General features: G+C 44.3%; 1 protein-coding gene across 41 annotated transcripts in view, besides 9 other annotated features; it reads right to left on the bottom strand.

Moving 5' to 3' along the window:
- TMEM131L (transmembrane 131 like) overlaps positions 1–25,773 on the bottom strand; it is a 170,352-nt gene that overhangs the window by 129,500 nt on the left and 15,079 nt on the right. The gene's annotated exons all lie outside the window — the stretch shown is intronic.
- Positions 9,439–9,518: an enhancer, noted in NCBI's record as "active region_22068". NCBI's record gives its function as "activates an Ori minimal core promoter by ATAC-STARR-seq in GM12878 lymphoblastoid cells {active_cell/tissue: GM12878}" and the evidence as "EXISTENCE:reporter gene assay evidence [ECO:0000049][PMID:35858748]".
- Positions 11,760–12,757: an enhancer, noted in NCBI's record as "H3K27ac-H3K4me1 hESC enhancer chr4:154415607-154416604 (GRCh37/hg19 assembly coordinates)". NCBI's record gives its function as "activates a minimal SCP1, AML or CMV promoter by ChIP-STARR-seq in primed H9 embryonic stem cells {active_cell/tissue: H9 hESC(primed)}" and the evidence as "EXISTENCE:reporter gene assay evidence [ECO:0000049][PMID:30033119]".
- Positions 17,720–17,779: an enhancer, noted in NCBI's record as "active region_22067". NCBI's record gives its function as "activates an Ori minimal core promoter by ATAC-STARR-seq in GM12878 lymphoblastoid cells {active_cell/tissue: GM12878}" and the evidence as "EXISTENCE:reporter gene assay evidence [ECO:0000049][PMID:35858748]".
- Positions 18,410–18,619: an enhancer, noted in NCBI's record as "active region_22066". NCBI's record gives its function as "activates an Ori minimal core promoter by ATAC-STARR-seq in GM12878 lymphoblastoid cells {active_cell/tissue: GM12878}" and the evidence as "EXISTENCE:reporter gene assay evidence [ECO:0000049][PMID:35858748]".
- Positions 18,770–18,939: an enhancer, noted in NCBI's record as "active region_22065". NCBI's record gives its function as "activates an Ori minimal core promoter by ATAC-STARR-seq in GM12878 lymphoblastoid cells {active_cell/tissue: GM12878}" and the evidence as "EXISTENCE:reporter gene assay evidence [ECO:0000049][PMID:35858748]".
- Positions 19,120–19,189: an enhancer, noted in NCBI's record as "active region_22064". NCBI's record gives its function as "activates an Ori minimal core promoter by ATAC-STARR-seq in GM12878 lymphoblastoid cells {active_cell/tissue: GM12878}" and the evidence as "EXISTENCE:reporter gene assay evidence [ECO:0000049][PMID:35858748]".
- Positions 19,290–19,409: an enhancer, noted in NCBI's record as "active region_22063". NCBI's record gives its function as "activates an Ori minimal core promoter by ATAC-STARR-seq in GM12878 lymphoblastoid cells {active_cell/tissue: GM12878}" and the evidence as "EXISTENCE:reporter gene assay evidence [ECO:0000049][PMID:35858748]".
- Positions 19,560–19,609: an enhancer, noted in NCBI's record as "active region_22062". NCBI's record gives its function as "activates an Ori minimal core promoter by ATAC-STARR-seq in GM12878 lymphoblastoid cells {active_cell/tissue: GM12878}" and the evidence as "EXISTENCE:reporter gene assay evidence [ECO:0000049][PMID:35858748]".
- Positions 19,620–19,669: an enhancer, noted in NCBI's record as "active region_22061". NCBI's record gives its function as "activates an Ori minimal core promoter by ATAC-STARR-seq in GM12878 lymphoblastoid cells {active_cell/tissue: GM12878}" and the evidence as "EXISTENCE:reporter gene assay evidence [ECO:0000049][PMID:35858748]".

Genomic DNA, 25,773 nt, shown 5'->3' with positions numbered 1-25,773 from the left:
CCATTTCAACCCAACACTGGATAGCTCTGATGGGCCATAAACACTCCAAAGCTTCCCGTGGTGTTGTTCAAGGCTCTGCAGGCCTATACTGCAGTTTGACTTCTCGCTCTGCCCAACTCTGCTTCTGCCCCCTCCCTTCCACAGGTGTTAATCCTTAAAAAATGTGCATTCCTGTACACCAAACTGTCTCAGTATCCACTTCTAAAGAACCCAAACTGTGCCAGCAAACCACCTTCAAGAGTTTTCAGCTATGGTTACAGGGGAGGTTTTTATTCCCCACTCTGGTCTCCTCTTCTGTGTTAGTCTCAGATCTGTAAATAAAGTAGTAAATACTCTTTTTTTCTTTCTTCTTTTTTTTTTTTTTTTTTGGATACAGAGTCTCACTCTGTCACCCAGGCTGGAGTGCAATGGCGCAATCTCGGCTCACTGCAACCTCTGCCTCCTGGATTCAAGCGATTCTCCTGCCTCAGCCTCCTGAGTAGCTGGGATTACAAGCATGTGCCACCAGGCCTGGCTAATTTTTTGTATTTTTAGTAGAGATGAGGTTTCACCATGTTGGCCAGACTGATCTTGAACTCCTGACCTCAGATGAGTCCCCCCCTTGGCCTCTCAAAGCGCTGGGATTACAGGCATGAGCCACCGCACCCGGCGTAAATACTTAGTATCAGTCATTTTGCTGAAATTTACTCATTTTTTGGTTGAATGAAGCAGTTCACCCTCTAACAGTAAGGGCTTAAAGTACAGAATTCCCTGAGTCACTGTGTAAACTGTTTCTCTATTCTTGATACCTGAAGGACAGCCTGGCTGGGATAAAATCCTTGGCTGTCACTCCCTAAAATCTTTTCAAAATGCTGCTCCATTGTTACCTTGCTTTGTACATCATTTTGAGAAATGTGATGACAGTCAAATTATTTTGTCCCCGTAAACCATACGATCTTTTTTTGCAAGGAATCCTTGAGAAATTTTTTCTCTTTATCTTTGAAATCTAATAGAATGTATCTCAGAGTTTATAATTCTGGGTTACTTTTCCCAGGTATCACCTGGTGGGCTCTTCCAATATGTAGATTCAGGTCATCTTTTGTTTTAGAGCCTTTTCTTGGATTTTAAATATTAGTTCGACTCTACTATTGTTTTTCACCTTCACAGCGCAATTATACCTAAGTTAGTTCTACTTCAAATACTTCCCTCTGATCTTTTTTACTACATGAAAAAGTTGTAATTTCAAAGACAAGAATTCAAGCTATCAAGATCTGGTACGAAATATCTGAGACACATGCTGGACACACAAAACAAGCCCCCTGCTCTGGCCAGGCAGCCTCCTCACCACACCCTGGGCACACTCTTACTCATTCCAACTTGATGTCTCCAGTTCCTCTCAAGCCTTTTCCTGCTATTTCACAAGTCCCTCTCTCACCATTCTGGCCCCAAATTAGCTCTCTTTTTCTGAATTTGTATGATTTCGCTGCTCAACTCATTTAGGGGTATAAGATATTTTAGCTGGGAAATAAAATTATAGTACTGTCTCATACCAGTAATGTGTCATGAGCTTTGAACTTACCTCTAAACACAATGACAACCTGAATACCAGGAACCATGACCTACATTTTGCTTTTCCCCTTCAGGACATGTTATGGGCTGAATTATGTTTCTTACAAAATTCCTATCTGCAAGTCCTCATCCCATTTATCAGAATGTGACTATATTTGGAGATAAGATCTTCAAAGAGGTAAAGAAATTAAAATGAGGTCATCAAAGTGGACTCCAATCCAGTATGACTGGCATCCCTGTAAGAAATGGCAAGTTGAGGGCTGGGCAAGGTGGCTCACACCTGCAATCCCAGCACTTTGGGAGGTTGAAGCGGGTGGATCACGAGGTCAGGAGTTTGAGACCAGCCTGGCCAATATGGTGAAACCCCATCTCCATTAAAAAATACAAAAATTACCGGGGTGTGGTGGTGCGTGCCTGTAGTCCCAGCTACTCGAGAGGCTGAGGCAGGAGAATCACTTGAACCCGGAAGGCAGAGGTTGCAGTGAGCCGAGATTGTGCTGTTGCACTCCAGCCTGGGCAACAGAGCGAGACTCCATCTCAAAAAAAAAAAAAAAGAAAGAAAGAAAGAAATGGAAAGTTGGACCAAGAGATAGTACAAAGGGAAAACTATGTGAAGACATAGGGAGAAGATAGTCATCTAAAGGCCAAGGAGCCTAGTTCCCTGACATTTGCTCTGCACCCCACAGTTCGCTCCTAGCCAACCCATCCTCTGCTCACACATGCCCCCCTGGAAACCTAACCTCTGTTACAACTCAGCAAGGCTGGTCACTCTGAAAAAACAAGCTGAGATTCAAGTGAATGCATCCATCCTTGACAATGGCATGTTGTCTGTGGCAAATGAGATGAAGAAGCAAAATGTCAAGGATTCTGCTTCTCATGTATCCTAAGTTTCATTCGTTTATGGGAAAAGTCTTTCTGTGAAAGCAAATCTCATAACCTAGTTAAGAGACTTATAAAATTTTGCTAATTCTACAGGGTAAGTGAAAAAAATCATTATTTATAAGAAAATTTATATTACAACTCAGACTGATCAATCAGCAAAATAATATTTCTCTTGCTTAGCATAAAGAACAAGTGGCCAGACACGGTGGCTCACGCCTGTAATCCCAGCACTTTGGGAGGCTAAGGCAGGTGGATCACCAGGTCACACAAAGTCAGGAGTTAGAGACCAGCCTGACCAACATGGTGAAACCCCGTCTCTACTAAAAATACAAAAATTAGCCGGGCGTGGTAGTGCGCACCTATAATCCCAGCTACTCAGGAGGCTAAGGCAGGACAACCACTTGAACCCAGAAGGTGGAGGTTGCAGTGAGCCGAGATCACACCACTGCACTGCAGCCTGGGCAACAGGCGAGACTCTGTCTCCAAAAAAAAAAAAAAAAAAAAAAAAAAAAAAAGGCCGACCGCGGTGGCTCACGCCCGTAATCCCAGCACTTTGGGAGGCCGAGGCGGTGGATCACAAGGTCAGGAGATCGAGAACATCCTGGCCAACACAGTGAAACCCCGTCTCTACTAAAAATACAAAAAAAATTAGCCGGGCGTGGTGGCGGGCGCCTGTAGTCCCAGCTACTCGGGAGGCTGAGGCAGGAGAATGGCGTGAACCCAGGAGGTGGAGCTTGCAGTGAGCCGAGATAGCACCACTGCACTCCAGCCTGGGCGACAGAGCAAGACTCCATCTCCAAAAAACAAAAAAACCACACAAGTGCATTTAACATTCACTATACAGTATATTTAAAAGCAAAGGCTTCAATATACGTTGAAAAATCAGAGAAGTGAGGTTTTCTAATTGTCTTTCCTTATTAAAGAATTGTTTCTAGACTCAGCTGTGAGTTTTGTAAAACATAACCTTACATTTTCATGACCCTTCATCACTTTTAGAGTACTTTTATAACCCGTGTCTTATTACATTCTTGCAATGAGGCTAGCAAGACAGACATTAGCCTCATTCTGCTTCTGGTAAAACCCCGTCTAACTCAGAAGTTAAGTGACTTGCCCCAAATCATATCACTAGTAAGTTGTAGGACCCACATCATGACTCTTTGTCCTGAGTCCGGCCATGAAATGAAGGCATTAATTTAATATGCACCAATTTTTTTTAACTATTAGTATTTCTGTTTACCCAATAGTATATCCTAACAGGTTTTTTCAAAATATCTTAGTTACTTTAAATAGAATTTTGTATAAATAATGAGTAAATCTGAAAATAACAGTAGCTCATAGACAGAAGCTACTCATTTTGCCTTATTTTAAAAAGCTGTCCCTTTTATGCCAAGTCACTTGAACCTTATCCTACTCTATCCTACCTAAAAGGTTAATCCTGTCCTATCTTTGTACAATTTTACAAGTGATGTTATGCTCCCAGAGAAAGGAGGAATAACCAAATCCCTGAAATGTTCCCCCGTATTCTAAAAATGAATAAAGGAAAAAGTGAATTAAATGAGAAAGTTATAGCAATGGAAAACATCACATGTGCATTTGCTAAGTGTTAAGGTTTTTGAGAAAGTTTCTAAGTGAGAAAACACTCTCCAAGTTAAGTGTGAGAAACTGAAATTATATCTTTGTTTTAATGTAGTTTATAGAGTTTAAGATTAGCCTTTAGGCATCTCTGAGTTCTTCTAACTAAAAATAAATCTCAAGTATTTGGGTCAATAGGAATAAACATGGTCAGGAAGAGTAGAGGAAAAAAAAAAGATGACCCTGCAAAATGAGACTTTGCAGTAATTGGCTTTCTAGAAATGTTACATCTAGGAAAAGGGTCATTGACCCCTAGTTATCTTCATAATAGAAGGTAATAATGTGAAAAACCTAAGACATAGATTTCTCAGGAGTGACAATCAAGAGTTATAGCACTTCCAGGGCAGAGAGATCAAGTAACAAGAAATTATAAACACCAAATGCTCTAAGCATCTTCTCATACTCAAAGCAATCTGCATGAATTATCTCCATCCCAAATAATGTATGACTAATACCAGTGTCATAAGATAGTTTCAATAATTTGCAATTTTCTTCTATACGCAGAAGTTTTTCAAAGTAATGTTAAACTGAACTTTTTCAGCAGAAGCCATTTCAATGCACATTCAGCCATTTGAAAAGCTTCTATGGTTTAATGATTAGTTTACACATAATTCATTTTTCAACCAACGCACAAGTTAATATATCAATGATCCTTCGTGTTAACTCCCAAAGAGTCAGAATAAATGATACCTTACAGAAGCCTAGGATTGAGTATACTAATAAGGTTCACTGTGACAAAGAGAATGCTAGCTGCCAAACCCAGTAGCTGTTTTCCTGTCCTCCTTAAGAAGACATTTTGAAACAGGCACATGGCTGCAGAAAAGACTCCTCTTCCCAGTCTACCACTTGCAGCTGAGATGCAACCATATGACTAAGTTCTGGAAATGAGATGTATATACAAGTTTGGGACAGCCGCGGTGGTTCACACCTGTAATCCCAGCACTTTGGGAGGACAAGGTGGGAGGACTGCTTGAGCCCAGGTGTTGGAGACCGGCCCGGGAAGCACGGTGAAAACTCATCTCTACAAAAAATTAGCCAGGCATGGTGGCGGGCACCTGTGGTCCCAGCTACTTGTGAGTCTGAGGTGGAAGGATCACTTGAGCCCTGAATGTTAAGGTTGCAGTGAGCCGTGATCATGCCACTGCACTCCAGCCTGGGTAACAGCAAGACTCTGTCTCCATTTAAAAAAAAAAAAAAAAAAAAAAACCCTTTGGGGGATACTTCCAGGAAGTGACCTGGAAAAGGTAGAGGGGAAATCCTACTCTAGCTCCTTCCTCCATCCTGGAGGGGAAATGAAGATGATCCTGCGGGTTGGGCAGTCACCTTGGATTAGGAGACAGAGGAGGCATGGCCTTGATGATTATGAAGCTGTCACCTCAGTCCTGGCCTGCCCTCTGCTCTCTCAGATAAGCAGTATAGAGGAAAGCTTCTATCTCATTTATGTTACTGGGTTTTCTGTCTCATGAAACTGGTCCTAATCCTAACTGATATGCTTCTTCACCACCATAGCAGTGACAGTGATGATGGTAAGAAAAGTGATGGCAAGAAGTAATACAACACCTGCACACATACCCTGAGACTCCTTACCATGTGCCAGAAAATACAGTAGAGGCTTTACTCACATTATTTACATTAATACTTGCAAAACTCAGCTGGGCACAGTGGCCCATACCTGTAATCCCAGCACTTTGGGAGGCCGAGGCAGGCGGATCATGAGGTCAAGCGATCGAGACCATCCTGGCTAACACGGTGAAACCCTGTCTCTCCTAAAAATACAAAAAATTAGCCGGGTGTGGTGGCACGCGCCTGTAGTCCCAGCTACTCAGGAGGCTGAGGCAGAATTGCTTGAACCCGAGGCAGAGGTTGCAGTGAGCCAAGATCGCGCCACTGCACTCCAGCCTGGGTGACAGAGCGAGACTCCGTCTCAAAAAAAAAAAAAAAAAAAAACTTGCAAAACCCCTGTGAGGTGGGCATTATAAGTCCCACTTCTTTAGTTAAGCATCCAGTATGGTCATTATTCTTGCTATTCTAAAATTTCACAATATGCTTGGTGGGATTCTCTAAATCCACTGTGCAGGGTACTTGGCGTACCCTGTTAATCTTCCACTTTCATCAGTTACCATATTCTATCAGTTATCCACTTTCTATCTTCCAGAATTTTTTTTTAACTCTATTATCAACTGATAGCATTTCTTCACTATAGGTTTTTATTAACCTTTTAAATTTCTATCTGATCATTAAACGGCGTCTCTGGAGAAAGAGGAGACTAAGCCATGTAGTCATTCCATCGATTTTCACAACTAGGAAAAAAGTGCACATGCCTGTGTGTGTGTGCATGCACGCGTGTGTGAGCGTGTGTGTTTCTTTGGTCTCAATAGGCTAAGATAGTTCTAAATCATCCAGATAAAGCTTAACAAGGCCAAATGTAAATATTTGTATTTTAAAGAAGGCAATTCATTACTTAAGTGTATATTGAGAAAGAGAAGTTAGCAGTTCCCATTAAAATAAAAAGAAGATGACGGACCCAAAGGTTTTTGTTTGTGTTTGATCTTGTTTGGCCATAAAATAACACGATCCAAGTAGAAAGACACTGCTACTAGAAGTGCTAATGAAATCTTGGGCTTCATTAAAATAAGTAGAGTCCAGACCAAAAAAGAAATGGATTCACTACATAGGGCACCATTCAGATCTCAACAGAATCACTCTATCCACTATTGGCAAAATTTAAACTAAAAAAGTTCTGGGATGGGTGTGGTGGCTCACGCCTGTAATCCCAGCACTTTGGGAGGCTGAGGCTGGAGGATTACTCGAGCCCAAGGAGTTCAAGATCAGCCTGGGCAACATAAAGAAACCCTGTCTCTACAAAGGAATATATAAAAATTAGCTGGGGGTGGGGAGGCATAAGCCTGTGGTCCTAGCTATATGGGAGGCTGAGGCAGGATGACTGCTTGAGCCCAGGAGTTTGAGGCTGCAGTGAGCCATGATTGTACCATTGCACTCCAGCCTGGGTAAGAGAGTGAGACCCTATCTACTCTTGCAAAAAGAAAGAAGGGAGGGAGGGATGGGACAGAGGGAAGGGAACGGAAGGGAACGGAAGGGAGGAAGGGAGGAAGGAAGGTTGGTTCTGACCAAGTTAACATTAGGACTGACTGAAAAACATGAGGAATAATTTAGCCTGGGCGAGTTAAAAAAAAAAATTTAGGTAAAACCAACCTAGAGAAGAGATGTGATAACTGTCTCAAGTCTGTGAGACTGGGATCTGACGGTGGAAGACTAAAGAGAGCAAATGTGAAGTCAAAATCAGAGAACATCTTTACAATGAGAGAGGCTCAAAAATGGAAAGTCAGTTTCAAAGGTGAACTTCCCATCACGTGAAGTGCTCAAGCTGAAGCTGAATAACCAATCAGGGTAAGAATGTCATAAGGGGCTGGGCACGGCGGTTCACGCCTGTAATCCTAGCATTTTGGGAGGCCAAGGTGGACAGATCACGAGGTCAAGAGATTGAGACCATCCTGGCCAACATGGTGAAATCCCCTCTCTACTAAAAATACAAAAATTAGCCGGGCATGGTGGCGCGTGCCTGTAGTCCCAGCTACTTGGGAGGCTGAGGCAGGAGAATCACTTGAACCCAGGAGGCAGAGGTTGTAGTGAGCTGAGATTGTGCCACTGCACTCCAGCCTGGCAACAGAGCGAGACGCATCTCAAAAAAAAAAAAAAAAATCATAAAGATCTATTTCATCACTGGCAGAAAGTGGAAGACTCCTGTCAAGACTGATAAATCCATGGAAGATGTGCACATGGAGCCATATCACACAATGCGGCAGGTCAGCAACAATGGGCAGACAAGCGCTGGGCATCCTCCAAACCTCCCGAGGCCATGTCTGAGCTACAGCGACTGGAGGCTGGGCACCACTAACCGCAGGGAGGCGACTGCCCAGAACCAGTGCTCACAAGTTACAAGGCGCAGCCTCGGAGCCCTGAAACGGTTAGTTCAGGCCTGGCCCATCCCTAAACACTAACAGAAGAAAGGAGAGACATGAGTTGTGCCTAGGATGAGCCACAGAGGTTTTGGAAAATGACAGGCTGTCCAAGTTCTCTACGTAAGACTACATTCAAGGAAAAGGACAACAAAAACAAACGTTAATACTAAGGGGCAACTTCCAGCTTCCCACAGTTCCAGGCTTACATACCCCAAATGCAGAATTGGCTACATTGTGCAGTGTTGTGAAGTTTCACTTAATTCCAGTGGGTTTTTTTCCAAGAAAGGTTGGCAAAAGCTCTAAGTTGATATAACTGCAAAGTCTGGAACAGACTCTCCTCTGCATTTGTTGCATAAACTCCTAAATGGCAGCTTCTCAATTTCCAGCTCCTAACTACTAGTTTCCAGAGTGACTGAAGGAGAAAAAGATGAGAGCAAATGGGAAGCCAGCCTTGCTCAGTAGGGCCGAATGAGAAGACCCTGGGGACCAAAGGGCCACAGGATCTCAACTCCTCATTGTTCACACTCTCTATAAACCCTAAGGGGAAAAACATTTGCATCTTGTGAAGAGAGAGCTTGAAAGAACTCTGCTCACCCCCCACTTCCCTACCCACCTCCAAAAATACACACACACCCACACGCTCTCTCACATAGTGCGATTAGCCATGTATCTAAAGAATGTGCAGCCTCTATTCCAGAATCCTGCAAAAAACATTTTTATGAACCAATTCACTGAAACACATGTTCCAGGATGTCAAATTAAATAGCGAGCTGGGAATGAGTGGGAGAGCAAAGGAAGCTGGCCTCAGCCCTCCTTGGCTCTGCTGCTGTAAACCCTGCCTCTCTGTCCGTAAGTGGGCTTTTAGGAAAAGTTCCCAGCAGAGGAGGGCTCCTCCCAGGCCCCTCAGCCTCAGAGGGTGCAAGAGCAGATCAAGGGCACCATGCTCAGGACTCCCCCAAACCCCTGGCTCTGTCCAGAGCCTACCAAGCATCATTTGTGAATAAAGCAAGCTGCTCATTTTCCATCCTCCTACATCTTCTCCCACCCACCTCCTCAAACTTACATAAACTCAGAGAATAGCAGGCAGGCTGAACAGGAGCTGTGCCTTAAATCCGACACAATAAAAAAAGAACGGAACACAACGTTTTTCTTTAGCCAAAAACTTCAAAATGCTTACACACGGATCTCTGCCATCAGAACCCTTAAGGATGTCTGTAGAAGCTAGGAGATGTGTATCTGGGTGTTCACCGTACAAGTCTCTCAACTTTTCTTTTTTTTTTTTTTTTTTTTTGGAAATTTTTCATAACAAAAAGAAAAAAAAGATTTCTGCATTGTGAGATACATGTTACACAAACACAGATGAAATAATAGAGTAGAAAAGAGTATAGTCTATGATAAAAAGAGCCAAGCATTAACGCTTGTCATCACTTTCTAATCTCATGTCTGTGCGTTCGGCAGGCAAATAACTTTCTTTTCCAGAACAGGGTAAAGCAGCAGCAATAGATACGTGAACCTCGTGGGATTTGACCTCCAACATGGAAAACGCTTTACCTGAAATGCAGACTACAAATATATGTCTCTGAATATATAACATAAAATGTAAGACCTAATTTAATCAATATAACTCTCCTGGTACACAATTCTATGGAGAGCAAAACGTTTCAAACTGGGTTAGAGAGCCACAGGTTCCTGAGAGGCTTATCTCAGAGGCCAGGGGAGGGTGCTTAAAACCGAGGTGTAACAGGATGTTTTCAGCTTCAAGCAGCATGAGGCCTAACTCAGAAAAAGGTAGAGGAGAATATTTTTCTCACATGACTCATATGACCCAAAGTCCTGGAAGCCAGTTCTAGGGAAGGTTGATTCAGTAGCTCAATGATGTCATGATGCTTGCAGAATGCTCCCACCTTGCCATTCTGCCATCCTCTCAGCAGCACACACTCACGGGCATCCTTCAGAGGGGAGACAAACTTTCCCCAAAGTCCTCAAAAACATTCCCTTCGAAAATCTTGGCCAGGTGTGCTGGCTCATGCCAGTAATCCCAACACCTCAGGAAGCTGAGGCAGGTGGATCACCTGAGCCTAGGAGTTCAAGACCAGTCTGGGCAACATGGCAAAACCCCATTTCTACAAAAAAACACAAAAACTAGCTGGGCATGAGGGCACGCACCTGTAGTCCCAGCTACTAGGGAGGCTGAGGTGGGAGGATCGCTTGAGCCTGGGAGTTCAAGGCTGAAGTGAACCATGATCGTGCCACTGTACTCCAGCCTAGGCCACATAATGAGACCCTGTCTCAAAAACAAAAAAAAAAAAGTCTTCATAGGCCAAGTACAGTGGCTCACACCTGTAATCCCAGCACTTTGGGAGGCCAAAGCGAGTGGATCACTTGAGCCTAGGAGTTTGAGACCAGCCTGGGCAACATAGTGAGACCCCCATGTCTACAAAAAAAATAAACAAAATTAGCCAGACTGGTGGCTCACACCTGTTATTCAGGAGGCTGAGGTGGGAAGATCACCTGAGCCTGAGAGGTGGGGCCACAGTGAGCCAGGATCATGCCACCACACTCCAACCTGGCCAACAGAATGAGACCCTGTCTCAAACAAAAACAAAACAAGTCTTCATAAACACTGAATCCTAAATCTTTCACTAACAAAACCAAAGAGAATGACAATGACACTGTCACAGTGACCTATGCAGAGGGGACTTAGATTACTGAAATCCCTGTGGGGCTGGGGGAACGGGTTGTGTTCCCTGCTGAATAATACTGACATGAGGGGGGTGGTCCTGGAAAAGCAACTATCCCTGTGCCTCAGTGGGCCTCCCCGTTTTCGATGCAATGGAGCAGCCCCGTATTTAATTTTTGTACCAGGCTTCTACAGAAAATTCTGTTTAAATAAAGTGTTCCATGGATTTAAAATGTTTTGATTTGTTTTGCAAAACTAGGTTAGGACCAGCCTGTGAAGTAATGCTTAGGCAAGGATAATTTGATACCTTTCTAAAGAATTCCTATCCGTTAAACCCATAGCCTAATCTATTTTGATGCCCCAACTCTGAATGGGATTATTTTAAAGAAACTGCCTTTCTGATTTCAGGTCTCGCCGCCCTCGAGAGGGGCTAGCTTGGCATTCGGAGGCCTTGTTGGCACTCTAGGAATCCATCTTCAGACTTCTTTTCTGGCCAGGGCTGACATCCGCCCCTTTAAGCTCAGCACAGCCACATCCTCATTACTCCACTGAAACAGTTCCACACTTGTTTTGTGAAAGCAAACTAAATCTCGGTACCCAAAAATCACTAAGCCAAGGGAAAGGTCAAGCTGGGAATCATGCCAGGCAAACCTGCCTCCCGTTTTATTCCTAAATAAGATAGCTACAAAGATTTTAAAAGTTACATACCTCCCTCACAATTTACCCACAAGGAAATTCCTTGTAGGCCTCAAGATCTTTACCCCAGAACGTTCTGTTGGATTTCACCCTGGCAATGTAAACTGATAGCTCATCTTCACAGGTGGAGACAGAAAGTCATCCCTCTGCTCACCTGAAAAAAATGCATATTTGATTGCTTCCTCTGACCTATTGTTTATGTAAAAATGCATTCACTGAGGCAGACTAAATTGTGTATTCACTCAAAGACTAATCAAGGACTCAAAAGAATGCAACCTTTTCTCTCTTACCCACCTATGACCTGGAAGCCCCTGCCCTCCCCTTATACCTACTCATTGATGTCTCATGTCTCCCTAAAATATATAAAAGCAAGCTGTATCCCGACCACCCTGGGCACAGGACCTCCTGAGGCTGTGTTCCGGGCATATCCTTAACCTTGGCAAAATTAACTTACTTGTTTTTTTTTTTTGTTTTCAGACGGATTCTCACTCTGTCGCCCAGGCTGGAGTGCAATGGCACAATCTCGGGTCACTGCAACCTAGGATGCCTCCCAGGTTCAAGCAATTCTCCTACCTCAGAGCCTCCTGAGTAGCTGGGACTACTGGTGCATACCACCACGCCCGGCTAATTTTTGTATTTTTAGTAGAGATGGGGTTTCAGCATGTTGGCAAGGCTGATCTCAAACTACTGACCTCAGATGATCCACCGCCTCGGCCTCCCAATGTGCTGGGATTACAGGCGTGAGCCACCATGCCTGGCCATAAAACCAACTTTCTAATTTGGTACAGATCTGTCTCAGATATTTTGGGTTCAGAGTTTGGTGAATAGCTACTGCCCCTCCCCAGACCCCTCTCACACTTCCCCGGATCACGCAGGTAAAGGGTGAACACCCGGCAGAGCAGGAGCCCCGGCAGGTCACCCAATGCACTGGTCTCAGAGCAAATGTCTAAAATATCCCCCTAACCAAGCCCACTGGTGCTGAGGCCCTCTTAGCGCTCCCGACGGAGAGCTGTTAGCTAAAGAACTTTCCAGCTTTTCCATTTTCCATAGCCTCATAATCACTCCTCATTTGCAAGAAGACAACTTCCTATTGTTTAGGTGAGACAGCCATAGGCAAGGTCTGCAACAGGATGAAAACTTTGGCAGAAGGGGCTTTCCTCGGTTCACGGTGCTCAGGACAATAAGACTGTTGTATCAGATATTAAAGATAGTTATGTCTAAACGTCTGTTTCCCCTTATTGTGAGTTTCCCCAAGTCAAGATGTCTTACTTTTTAATGTACCTTATGGCATAATAAAAAAATACAATCTCATTAGCAAATGAAAACACTGAATATTTTAGAAGATTCTTCCAGACTCCACAGAAAATTTTTCTGTAAAGAAGTATCATAAACACCTTTCTCTGTCAAATATTGTACTACATTATCCATATGGATGTACTATTGGACATTAAGTTGCTCCTAATTTTTCCCCAATATAAACAGATGGATATAATTGTAAATACAGCTTGTAAATTTATCCTACTTCCTTAAGAAATTCTTAAGAATGGAATTTCGCTAAAGCACGCACACACCTTGATATGCGATGCCAACTACAAATTCCACTATTAACAGTTTCTTTCACATAGACTAACCCCTGGGATCCTTACCTTACGAGATAGGTACTACTGGCCCACTTTTACAGATGAGAAAACTGAGGCTCAAGATCACATAGCTGGAAAGCCACAGAGATAGGATTCAAACCCAGAGCCCAGGTCCTTACCCACAACAATTCTAGCTTCTCAGACACAACTCATTAAAAAAAGGATTCTGTCACCCGGAAGCCAGGGAACGGTGTCAGCCAGATCAGGAAACCTTATCACTGTTACACAGCAGCCACCACTAAGAAAATGACCTTTTCAACTTCATAGCAGGTAACATTAGAGCATTTACATGCAAGGCTTTTAAATGCCTTACACAGATTTATGTAATCTTCAAAACAAACTCTGTGGTAGGTACTATTAACAATACCCCTATTTGAGAGAGGGGCAAACTAAGGCATGGAGAGGTTTGGCAACTCACCAAAAGTCACCAGCTAAGCAGTATGACATCAGATTCAAACCCAGACGGTCTGGCTCCAAGCGTTTTTTTTCTTTTTTTGAGACAGTCTAGTGCTATCGCCCAGACTGGAGAGCAGTGGTGCGATCTCGGCTCACTGCAACCTCCACCTCCTGGGTTCAAGTGATTCTCCTGCCTCAGCCTCCCAAGTAGCTGGGATTACCAGTGCGCACCGCCATGCCCGGCTAATTTTTTGTATTTTTAGTAGAGACAGGGTTTTACCACACTGGCCAGGCTGGTCTCGAACTCCTGACCTTGTGATCCACCCGCCTTGGCCTCCCAAAGTGCTGGGATTACAGGTGTGAGCCACTGCGCCCAGCCCCAAACATATCTTTTTTTTTTTTTTTTTTTTTTGAGACAGAGTCTCACTCTGTCACCCAGGCTGGAATGCAGTGGCACTATCTCCGCTCACTGCAAGCTCCGCCTCCTGGGTTCATTCCATTCTCCTCCCTCAGCCTCCTGAGTAGCTGGGACTACAGGCGCCTGCCACCACGCCCGGCTAATTTTTTGTATTTTTAGTAGAGATGGGGTTTCACCATGTTAGCCAGGATGGTCTCGATCTCCTGACCTTGTGACCCACCTGCCTCGGCCTCCCAAAGTGCTGGGATTACAGGCGTGAGCCACCGCACCCAGTCCCAAGCATATCTTTTAGCCACTGAGCTACTACCCTACCTTGAGGTTAGACAAAAATCTCCTGCCTCAGGTCATCATTACCACATCCACCTGTATCTCACCATCTGATCTCCCAGCCTTGGCTCATTCCTGACCTTCCTTTCCCCTACTCCTTATCAAGTTCTCCTCCTGAGCTCAGCCTGCTGCTCTTATCCACTCAACTCCTCCATCTTGGTCCCCACTTTCCAGTCTATTCTTTCCACCCTGCCCCCAGCCCTGAGCCAAATTATACAAAGCCAGAAAAGATATATAAGTTAAAAAAAACACCTAAATTTAAAACTCTGCTCATAAACACACCTTACACTTTAAGTGTAGCCCAAGTCACATGTTCCTTCTCTTAAAACTATATACATTCCTTCAGAGCACAGACTGTGTTTATAACCTACTAGTTTAACCAATATGCTTCAGGGGCTGTCTAGCAGGCATGCCATGCCAGTTTCATATTACTATTATATTTTCTTCTAATCACTTATTACATCAGAATATTTGTTTTCCCAAGTCCAAAGTGGTAGACTTATTTTACACACAACCTTGAGATTCCGCCTATGATTTAAACAAAGTTTTGTGCATATTAATAAGGATTCAGAATATTTGAAAATCTCCCTGAAGCCTCATCAATTTGGAAAATGTAATAATTTGGATAAGGTTTAGCTAAAATTCTAATTTTCTTCAAACTCTATTTTTAATTTAAAGTGAACTAAAAAGAAAAAATTGGGCTATGTGCAGTGGCTCATGCCGGTAATCCCAGGACTGTGGGAGGCCAAAATGGGAGAACTGTTGAGCGCAGGAGTTTGAGGCCAGCCTGGGCAACATAGTGAGACCTCCATCTTTTAAAAACCTTCTTTTTTTTTTTTTATAATTAGCTAAGCATGGTGGCATGGACCAATAGTCCCCACTACTTGGAAGGCTGAGGCAGGGGGATCGCTTGAGCCCAGGATTTCAAGGTTGCAGCGAGCTATGATCATGCTACCTACACTCCAGCTCGGGTGATGGAGCAAGGCCCCATCTCAAAACAAGAAGGAAAAAACTGCCAGGTGTGGTGGCTCCTGCCTACAATCCCAACACTTTGGGGAGTGGGTGGATCACTTGAGCTTAGGAGTTCAAGACCAGCCTGGGAAACATGAAACCTTGTCTCTACAAAAAATATTTTAAAATTAGCCAGACACGGTGGCAAGTGCCTGTAGTCCCAGCTACTCAGGAGGGTGAGGTGGAAGGATGGCTTGAGCCCGGGAGTCTGAGGTTGTAGTGAGCCAAGACTGGGCTACCGAACTCCAGCCTGGGTGACAGAACCAGACACTGTCTCAAAAACAGAAAAGAAAAGAAAAAACCCACACTCTAAAAAAGTACTACTAAAAAATAATCCAAATATCCAGAGACTAATTATATTAAATGTGTATATAAGGCTTTCACTATACTAAATAAATGCATAAGACGTACAACTTGGAATAAAACGACTAATTTGACAAAATAGTTTAAATTGTCCCTAAACAAATTTACATGACTAAAAGTTAAGTCTTACCATATGAATGATTACAGAGCAACAAAAAAAACTGATAAGGACCACTGAGAAAACAGTAATACGAAAGACTAGTGATTTACTTTCATATGACTGACACCTCTAATTACCGTCTACCTAATAAAAATCCCCAAAGCAAGTGTGTGGACAAAAAATGCCTCCAATCCATCTCAAAACACGGTTTTTCTCTTCTCTGTTTACCAGTTTCCTATTGCACTTACTTCCTACCTACTCTCTTCCCTTCTATTAGTCAATATTACAGGTGTTCAGCTCTCTAGGAACATGTCTTTCCTTCACCAGTTTCCCCTTTTATCCCCAATTCAAAAGTGGAAATAAAAAGAAAACGTAAGCAGTGTGCATTTACGTGACAGGCCTTAAACTCAGCAAGAGATCAGGTTACTTGATATCTGTGTGTCCATAAAGCCTATTCCACATGCCACAAATGTATTTCTGACTTCGACACGGACAATACCTATATGACACATCTCTGAACGGGGTCTTGTTTTTGTGGTGCTTTTCTTTGGGTTTTAGGCTTTCTTTTTTTTTTTTTTTTTTTTTGAGACAGAGTCTCACTCTATCGCCCAGGCTGGAGTGCAGTGGCGTGATCTCGGCTCACTGCAACCTCCACCTCCCGGGTTCACGCCATTCTCCTGCCTCAGCCTCCCAAGTAGCTGGGACTACAGGCCCATGTCACCAGACCTGGCTAATATTTTTATTTTTAGTAGAGATGGGGTTTCACCATGTTAGCCAAGATGGTCTCGATCTAATGATCTCATGATCCACCCGCCTCGGCCTCCCAAAGTGCTGGGATTACAGGCATGAGCCCCCACGCCCGGCCGCTCATTTTTTAAATCTAGAAGCTTTTGTTTCCAACAAGGAGCAACATAACTTTCATGAGCCCTTCCAGTACTCACAATAACTTTATGTTTACCCAAATAAACAACTAGGAATAACCTCCCTCTCCTAACTATATTACCTGAAAGTGGTGAATTAATGAAACCCCTTCCCAGCTCCCTAAACATACTTTCAAATTAAAATAAGGCCTGAATTTACAACCCAGGTTAAATGGATTAAAAGATTAAGGACTAGAGAGCAAGTGCCTTCTCCATCTCACTCTCACATTTCAACCTCAAATTACCCCAGCCCTCTAATGACTAGAGTAGTCACTGTAAAGGCGCCTAATTACCCACGAATTACACCAACTGTAACCAATTTCAGGATCACAGATCAGATTTTCCCAAAACATGAATCTGCTAATTAAGTTACCTGAAAGTCAAACTAACACGCAATTTGGATGTGACATTTATCCACCTGAAAGTAGACCTGTTAAGTATTTCAATTCACAGTAACAGCAGCTATTCCTTATGGACAGCACTATTACACACTTGGAAAACTGCAGCTGAAATACACGGACGCAGGAAGAGACTCATCTATGATTCAAGCATTTCCAGGAAATAACAAAAGGATTCTCCTGGCAAACCAACAGAATGGCCCACCAAGACCTGCTTCAGCCTGGGAATCAACTCGTATTCATTTGCTAAATTAAACTGATAATGAAACAAGTTTAAGATACTCACATACAGAGACACACCACAGCACACACAGCCTGGCACCAGTTACATTAGTCGCTTTTTTCTGAATTCTGACACAAGGAACGAGGTTTGATTTCATGGTTTTGCCTATTTGCTCATTATTAAATCTGCCCACTTATTTTCCGCAAGAAAAAAAAAAAATTGGGCCAGGCGCAGTGGCTCACACCTGTAATTTCAGCACTTTGGGAGGCCAAGGTGGGTGGACCATGAGGTCAGGAGTTTGAGACCAGCCTGACCAACATGGTGAAACCCCGTCTCTACTAAAAATACAAAAATTAGCCGGGCATGGTGGTACATGCCTGTAACCCCAGCTACTCAGGGGGCCGAGGCAGGAGAATCGCTTGAACCTGGAAGGCAGAGGTTGCAGTGAACTGAGATCGTACCACCGCACTCCAGCCTGAGTGAGAGAGTGAGACTCTGTCTCAAGAAAAAAATACTTCTCCCCAGTGCTCACAATCTTGTGAAAATAAAGAATTTTCCTTGGACGTGCTCCTACAGATACACAAAGAAATAATTCAGAAATAAAATCCATTCAACCAAAAGGCCAGGTTCAATGAGCTGGGAAGAAACTGCGTGGGTTTTGCAGCTGCGGCTGGAGCCCAGGAGTCCAAAGCTGCCGTAGACTGGTCTGTGCAGCTCTCAGGAAGGAAGCTTCACAGTGGATCGCTTCACACATCACCAGCCCAATACCAAAAAGGCGTTTCTCAGGAGCCCTGGTGTTGGGGGAGGGCAAGGAAAACAAGTGAGGGACATTCACAAGGGCTCACAGACGAGTCTCGCTGGGGACTATGTGTTATGGGTTAAACTGTGTCTCCACCAACCCCAACATGATATGTCAAAGTCCTAACCCCAGTACCTCAGAATGTGACCTGACTTGGAAACAGGGTTGGTGCAGATGCAATTAGTCCAGATGAGGCTGGACTGGAGTAGGGTGGGCCCCTGCTTCAATATAACTGGTGTCCTTATACGACAGCCACGTGAAAGCACGGAGACACCCAGGGAGAGCGCTGTGCGACAAGAGACTGGAGTGCCGCAGCTGCAAGCCAAGAAACCCCACAGGCTGCCGGCGAGCCCGCAGAAGCTAGGAAAAGGCGAGGGCGGACTCCCCGAGGGTTTCAGAGGCAGCGTGGCCCTGCCGGCTTGACAGAGGACTTCCAGCCACCGGACTGTGAGGAGAGAATACAATTCTGTTGTTCTAAAGCCGCGCAGTTTGTGGCACTTCGTTAGACAGCCCTGGGAAATTAATACACCACACTTGAACTTGAGTTGCTTCCTGTTGCCCTACTCCATCCAGCCCCCTCAGCTGGCAAATGCTCCCACTCCACCACAACAGAGCCGCAGGGAATCCCCGGGTTGCTGTGTGGCTGGGGAGGCCCTTCTCCCCTGTAAGTGGCACACAACAGGCTGGGCTATCCCAGGCCCAGGCCCTTGTCCCAATTTTGTTCCTTCTCTCCAAGTTCCCGGCTGCCTCCTCTGGGCCCTGCCCTCACCAGGGCCCGGTCCCCACTCCTCCCACAGGCAGCCCTGGCCCTCCAGCTGCAGGACGGGGTGTGGAAGTCCCCTTGGGGTGGGCAGTGCCCCGTGCTGCTTCCGCCCACCCCAGTTTCTCACAGAATTTTTAGAACACTTCTTTCAGTTTTGCCTTAAGTAATATCCTTCCTCATGCCCCAACAACCCCACTCACACTGGTGCACTCACGCACCCTCATTCTCTCTTACACACAACTCAGCCACAGGCCCACAGGGTCTCTCTCTCTCACACAAAACTCAGCCACAAACCCACAACGGTCTCGGTCTCTCTCTCACACACACACACGCACACAAAACTCAGCCACAGGCTCACCAGGGTCTCTCTCAACATGCACACATACACACACACACCCCTCAGTCATAGGCTCACAAGAGTCTCTCTTGTCTCTCATACATACACAAACACACACAACCAGCCACAGGCCCACAAAGGTCTCTCTCTTTGTCCCTGTCTGCTCTCTCGCACTCACAAACACACATCTCAGCCACAGGCCCACCAGAGTCTGTCTGTCTCTTTGTCTCTCTCACTCTCTCTCACACACATACACCTCAGCCACAGGCCCACAAGGGTCTCTCTCCTTGTCCCTGGCTCCTCTCTCTCGCACACTCCCACACACACACATACAGCTCAGCCACAGGCCCACGAGGGTGTCTCTCTCTCTCTCTCTCTCACACACACACACACACACACACACACGCCTGTGCAGCTCCACAGGGGCCTGGGCCAGGAGACAGATCTGAATACACATACCACCCTGTGCTGTGAGTGGCCACTCCCATCCAACAACTGAGACTTTCTGTTACTGGGCCAAGGTTTTCTGCCAAACTTACTTCCCTTATAATGAATGAATTCTCCCTCAGAAGGTTCCTCAGTCCTCCCCTGGAAGCTGACCTGCAATGGCCTAACCCACCTATTTACCAGGCATGCCAGGACATATGAGACCCTGATAGGTGGACACCAAAGCTCAGCCTGGAACCCCACCCCCATGTGCATCATTGCAGCAGAACTTCTTCGGACACACTCGATCCACCAGCTAACACTCCATACCCTATGAAGAGAATACGTACGGATTCTAGGTTTGATAAAATCCTGGGCCAGTGGTGGTAAGTCAGGCTGAAAAGCAACCATCTCCCAATTTCCACCCACTGTTTTACCTACAAGACTATTTCTACCTCTCATTATTTAATCCTCCACAAAAAGTATATTTTGTAACATGGTCCCTGAGCTGCCTCACCCTGGGCCAATGGTTTTCAAACTTGAGCGTGCATCAGAGCCACCTGGAGGGCTTGTTAAAACAGATCTCTGGGCTCCTCCCCTAGAGCTTCTGATTCACACCAGGTCTGGGGTGGGGTCTGAGAACCGGCCAGTCTAGCGAGTTCCCAAGCGATGCTGATTTAGGTCCCTGGACCAGGCTTCGAGAAACACTGCCCTAGACCGCTCATTTCTCGCTGAGCTCAGGTGGCCCAGCATAGCACTCAGCATAGCACACACTGCTGTCGGCCTTCCCACTGCCCATTCCCTTCCTCCCACTTAGGCAAAGCCGGGTTGTGCTCCCTATGACTAAACCCTGCAGGACAGAGCTGATCACGTGGTTCCACCACTCCACAGGCGTGGGTGGGTGAGTGGTTCAAGGTGAGTGCAGACCCACCTGTAAGATGTGAAGGGGAAGTCTGCTGGGGAGTACTTCTGAGAAAGTAGCCAGGGGTTCTTTTAACCTGCCTTTGGATGTTCAGGTGGGAGGCTGGGAGGCTGTGAAGCACACAGACCTCCTGCAAACGTGAGGGGAGCTGCACGGCACACAGAGTCCAACAGAACAGACAGGTCCGAAGAACCAGGCTCCCAGGTGCTGACACTAACCTGCTGAGTAAACCAACCCAGAACCACCCTGCCTCCAGGCTTCTTGTTAAGTGACATCATGCATTCTTTATTGTTTGAGCTGGTTGAGTCAGGGTTTTGTTACTTGCTGCTGAAAATAATCCCAAAGCAAAGCAAGCTGACAGGACAGCTCCTCTAAAGGCAACCTCTCAGCACACATTACAATGGCATGTGTTCCACAAACTAATCCCAATATTTCAGATTTAAATTTTCCACATTTCAAAAGCTATGTAGCTGAATATCTGTGGATAATCCACACTTAGAATTAGCATAAAACTAAAGAAGTTATCTAGCATACAGTAAAATATTACTGAAGGACCAACCCTGGGTCTATCTTACACGAGTCATGCTCTTTTTTTTTCAGGGATTTGCTAGGAACCATATAATACTAGGGCCTAAGAAAGTATTCAGTTGCTTCCATCCGTTAATCTCGGACTTAGTCTCCTTCGACAGACAGCTGTACATCTAATTGGGAAAGTGGCTTTCCACTCCAAAGCAGACAAGTATGCACTTACAGAGAGAGGACACCTAGGATCACGCACATGTTCTGTCACTTCATAGCTCTATAACCTTCAACAAATTGTTTTACCTTGATGAACCTGTCTCCTCATCTATAAAATGGGAATACTACCACATATCCACCTGGTTATGTAAGGAAGATACATGTGAAAGCACTTTGTAAACCATAAGGTTTACACAAGGGCAATTACTTAAATCCAATTTTTATGGATTAAGTGGATTAACATGACCTGATTTGAAGAAACAGGATTAATTACAATCCTAGAAGAATTACTCCACCAAAAATGCATACTACATACACCTGTCATAACTACCAATCGAACACTGTTTGGATTGTAATTCAAACAGAACCTTTACTGTAAATAATTTAGTGGCAGCAACATCCACAAGGTAGTTACAACCCTCAAAGTCAATGTTGTACAAGGCACAATATCAATATGAATTATTTACTATATACATTTTACATGGTTCACTTGGCAGGCCACACACTATGACTATGCTTTTACTGAGGCTATTCTCTGGGATCCACCTTCAAATGCAACAGTGGGTATCTGGGCACTTCACAGGGGGGCAAATCATCTTTCCTACAGAAGAAGTTCAGTTTTAATCCAACATGCATGTATCATTCGGAGCCATGTTTTCCAAATAAAATACCTGAACAAACTGGGTAAGAACAATAGGGACTGGACAATGTTTCTCAAACTGGGATGTGTACATGTATGTTAGAGAAGGCAACGCAATGAATTAAATATGGCCACCTTCCTGAAACATAAATTGTACTAGAAGATTTTTGGAACATAATAAAAACGAATCAACAGTGAGTAGTATTTAAATTCTCAACAAATGCTGATTTTTTTTTTTTTTTTTTTTTTTTAATGAGACAGAGTCTCGCTCTTTCGCCCAGGTCAGAGTACAGTGGTGTGATCTCGGCTCACTGCAAGCTCCACTTCCCGGGTTCATGCCATTCTCCTGCCTCAGCCTCCCAAGTAGCTGGGACTACAGGCGCCCGCCACCACGCCCAGCTAATTTTTTGTATTTTTAGTAGAGACGGGGTTTCACCATGTTAGCCAGGATGGTCTCGATCTCCTGACCTCGTGATCCGCCCGCCTCGGCCTCCCAAAGTGCTGGGATTACAGGCGTGAGCCACTGCACCTGGCCTGAATTTTTTTTTTTTTAATTTCCAAAGAATTTTCATGCTTACAGGAGACTTTAAAAACTACATCCCTATGGCCGGGCACGGTGGCTCACGCCTGTAATCTCAGCACTTTGGGAGGCCGAGGCGGGCGGATCACAAGGTCAGGAGATTGAGACCATCCTGAGTAACATGGTGAAACCCCGTCTCTACTGAAAATACAAAAAATTAGCTGGGCGTGGTGGCGGGCGCCTGTATTCCCAGCTACTCGGGAGGCTGAGGCAGGAGAATGGCATGAACCCGGGAGGCAGAGCTTGCAGTGAGCCAAGATCGTGCCACTGCACTCCAGCCTGGGTGGCAGAGCGAGACTCTGTCTCAAAAAAAAAATAAAAATAAAATAAAAATAATAAAAATAAAAACTACATCCCTACTACTTTGGGAGAAAACTTTGGGAGAAAACATTGAGAAAGACTACAATAAGCAAACAAGACTTTTTCTCATATCATTTATAAATTGGTTGCAAAGACAATGCTAAAACAATGGTTCCAAAAACATTAATTGGGCACCACACATCTGTAAAATACTGCCTAGACTACCACAGCAATTATTTGTAACATGATAACATTCTTTTGTTTAATTGATTGGGGGGAAAATTACTATTTACTTCAGGGTCATATTTCATATGTGGAAGACTCTAACAACAAACTAATACTCTGGTGACAATTCACTTAAAACAAGTAACAAGCTCCCAGGAGACCCCATTATCTTAATATTGGTGTTCCTAGACAGAGAAGACTGCCTTGGGAAATTTCTCCTTTGAGCCTGGAAACTCCAAGCTCTGCTACCTTCTTAAGCAATAAGAAGCTTAATATCATAACATATCCAGAACACCCTCACAGAATTAATACTGCTGCCGATGTTGGGATCCATCCAAAAAGTACTTTCATTTCTCACTGACCCACCGTGACAAGTGAAAGCAATCTGAAGCACAATGTCCACTGCATAAGAGAAGCCGAAATGTCAGCTTATACCTGACTCTCTAGCTAGAAGCCTTCCTAAAGAAATGTAAGTTTGGTTCTCAACGGCAAAACACCCAAGTCTCTTCTCTTTCTTACACAGCAATACCTTCATTCTTGCCTAAAACAAGCTTCTCATAGCCTTTTTTTATTTTTAGAGATAGGGCCTCTCTGTCACCCAGGCTGGAGTACAGTGGCAAAATCACAGCTCACGGCAACCTCAACCTCCTGGGCTCAAGTGAGCCTCAGCCTGCCGAGTAGCTGGGCCTATAGGTGCACATCACCACGCCCCACTTTTTTTTTGTTTTGTTTTTGTAGAGACAGGGTCTCACTTTGTGACCCACGCTGCTATCGAACTCCTGAGCTCAAGCCGATCCTCCCACCTCAGCCTCTCAAAGTGCTAGAGGCATGAGCCACCACACCCAGCCTCCTAAGTCTCTTCTTGGGTTGTTGGATTTGTCTAGCTCTTTCTTCAGAACGCACATCTTACTGAATGATTCCATTAAGTTATTTTACTGTTAAATATTATGACATGTAGCAATAAATAGTCAAGCCACTGAGTGGCATATGGAATGAAGCAAAGCTGATTCAGAATTTAATGCTGAGTTAAACCACTTCTCCCAAAGGCAATCTCTAGTCTAAAAAGTAAGGAACAACGAATTTCTGGAACTGCATCACTACATTTACGTATAATATCCAGCTTCCCCAGACCTTAATTCTACTTTTTTTGTTTCAGGAAAGTTGACATTAACGAAGTGTTTTGCCTATTTTTATTCTAGACTAACCCTTCAAAATTATTTTTTTTTCAAAATTCTTAAAGAATTAAGTAATTCTTTAATATGGAATTATTAAAGGTTCAAATAACCTTTCAATATAAAGATAAAAATGAATACGAACCTAATCACCCTGGTGCTTGTAAAAACATGTTATCTAGGAGGAACCAAAAGTGTTTTTAGGGACTGGACACGATGGCTCACGCCTGTAATGCCAACATTTTAGAAGGCTGAGACAAGAGGACTGCTTGAGTTAGAGAACAGTGTGGGCAACATAGGAAGACCTCATCTCTACAAAAACAAAATAAAAAAAATATTAGCCGGGCATGGTGACGTGTACCTGTAGCCCCAGCTACTGGAGAGGCTGAGGCGGAAGGACTGCTTAAGCCCATGAAGTCCAGGCTGCAGTTCACTATGACAGCACAATTGAACTCCAGCCTGGGCAACAGAGCAAAACCCTATCTCAAAAAATAAATAAAATAAAAGTTTTTAGGAACTAAAAATTTCAATGAAAACCAAAATTAGTATTCTGATCTTACTGTACTATTTTTCTGATTTATTTCAACTGAAGGCTAAATAACTATATAAATAGGTGTCAAAAGCTTTGCTAAAAATTTCACAATTTTTTCACCTAAAAAAAAGGTTTCTGTGGCTTGAATACAATTTTAATATATACCAAGAACCCTGTTTAAAAATCTGTATTGTATTAAGGAGAACACCTAAATTATGAGCTCTACAACAGTCAAAAAAATTACTTTACATTGTTATGGCTGCACAGACCATGGTTGAATGCATTCATTCTGCAAAGCTCCCAGAGCCCACAGGACCCTGTAGAAGGTACCATGAGGCTATACATGGATAGAGTGAATAACCCATCCTCTTTAAGAAAAAAACAACCAACTACAGAAACTCAGTATAAAAATACAGCCTCTGCCAGGCACGGTGGTGTACACCTGTAATCCCAGCACTTTGGGAGGCCGAGGCAGGCAGATGACGAGGTCAAGAGATCAAGACCATTTATCCAACATGGTGAAACCCTATCTCTACTAAAAATACAAAAATTAGCTGGGCGTGCTGGTGCCTGCCTGTAGTCCCAGCTACTCAGGAGGCTGAGGCAGGAGAAACCCTTGAACCTGGGAGATGGAGGCTGCAGTGAGCCGAGATCGCGTCACTGCACTCCAGCCTGCTGACAGAGTGAGACTCCGTCTCAAAAATAATAATAATAATACAGTCTCTGGGCCAGGCGCAGTGGCTCACGCCTGTAATCCCAGCACTTTGTGAGGCTAAGGCGGGTGGATCACTTGAGCCCAGGAGTTCGAGACAAGACTGCGCAACAACGTGAAACCCCAACTCTACAAAAAAAATACAAAAATCAGCCAGCCGTGGTGGCAGGTGACTGTGGTCCCAGCTACTCAAGAGGCTGAGGTTGGAGGATCCCTTAAGCCCAGGAGGCGGAGGTTGCAGTGAGCTAAGATGATGCCACTGCACTAAAGCCTAGGTGACAGACTGAGACCCTGTCTCAAAAAATAAAACTAAAAATAAAAGAATACAGCCTCTAACACAAATACTAGTCCTGTTATTTCAATGGCAAATATGGTTTGCAGGCTTGAACGTGGAGGACGTGCAAAACATAACA

Source organism: Homo sapiens, chromosome 4 (assembly GCF_000001405.40).
Source record: "Homo sapiens chromosome 4, GRCh38.p14 Primary Assembly".
In the NCBI taxonomy this organism is placed as follows: domain Eukaryota; kingdom Metazoa; phylum Chordata; class Mammalia; order Primates; family Hominidae; genus Homo; species Homo sapiens.
Note: the sequence above shows the minus strand (reverse complement) of the source record. Positions and strands in the feature narration are given on the sequence as shown.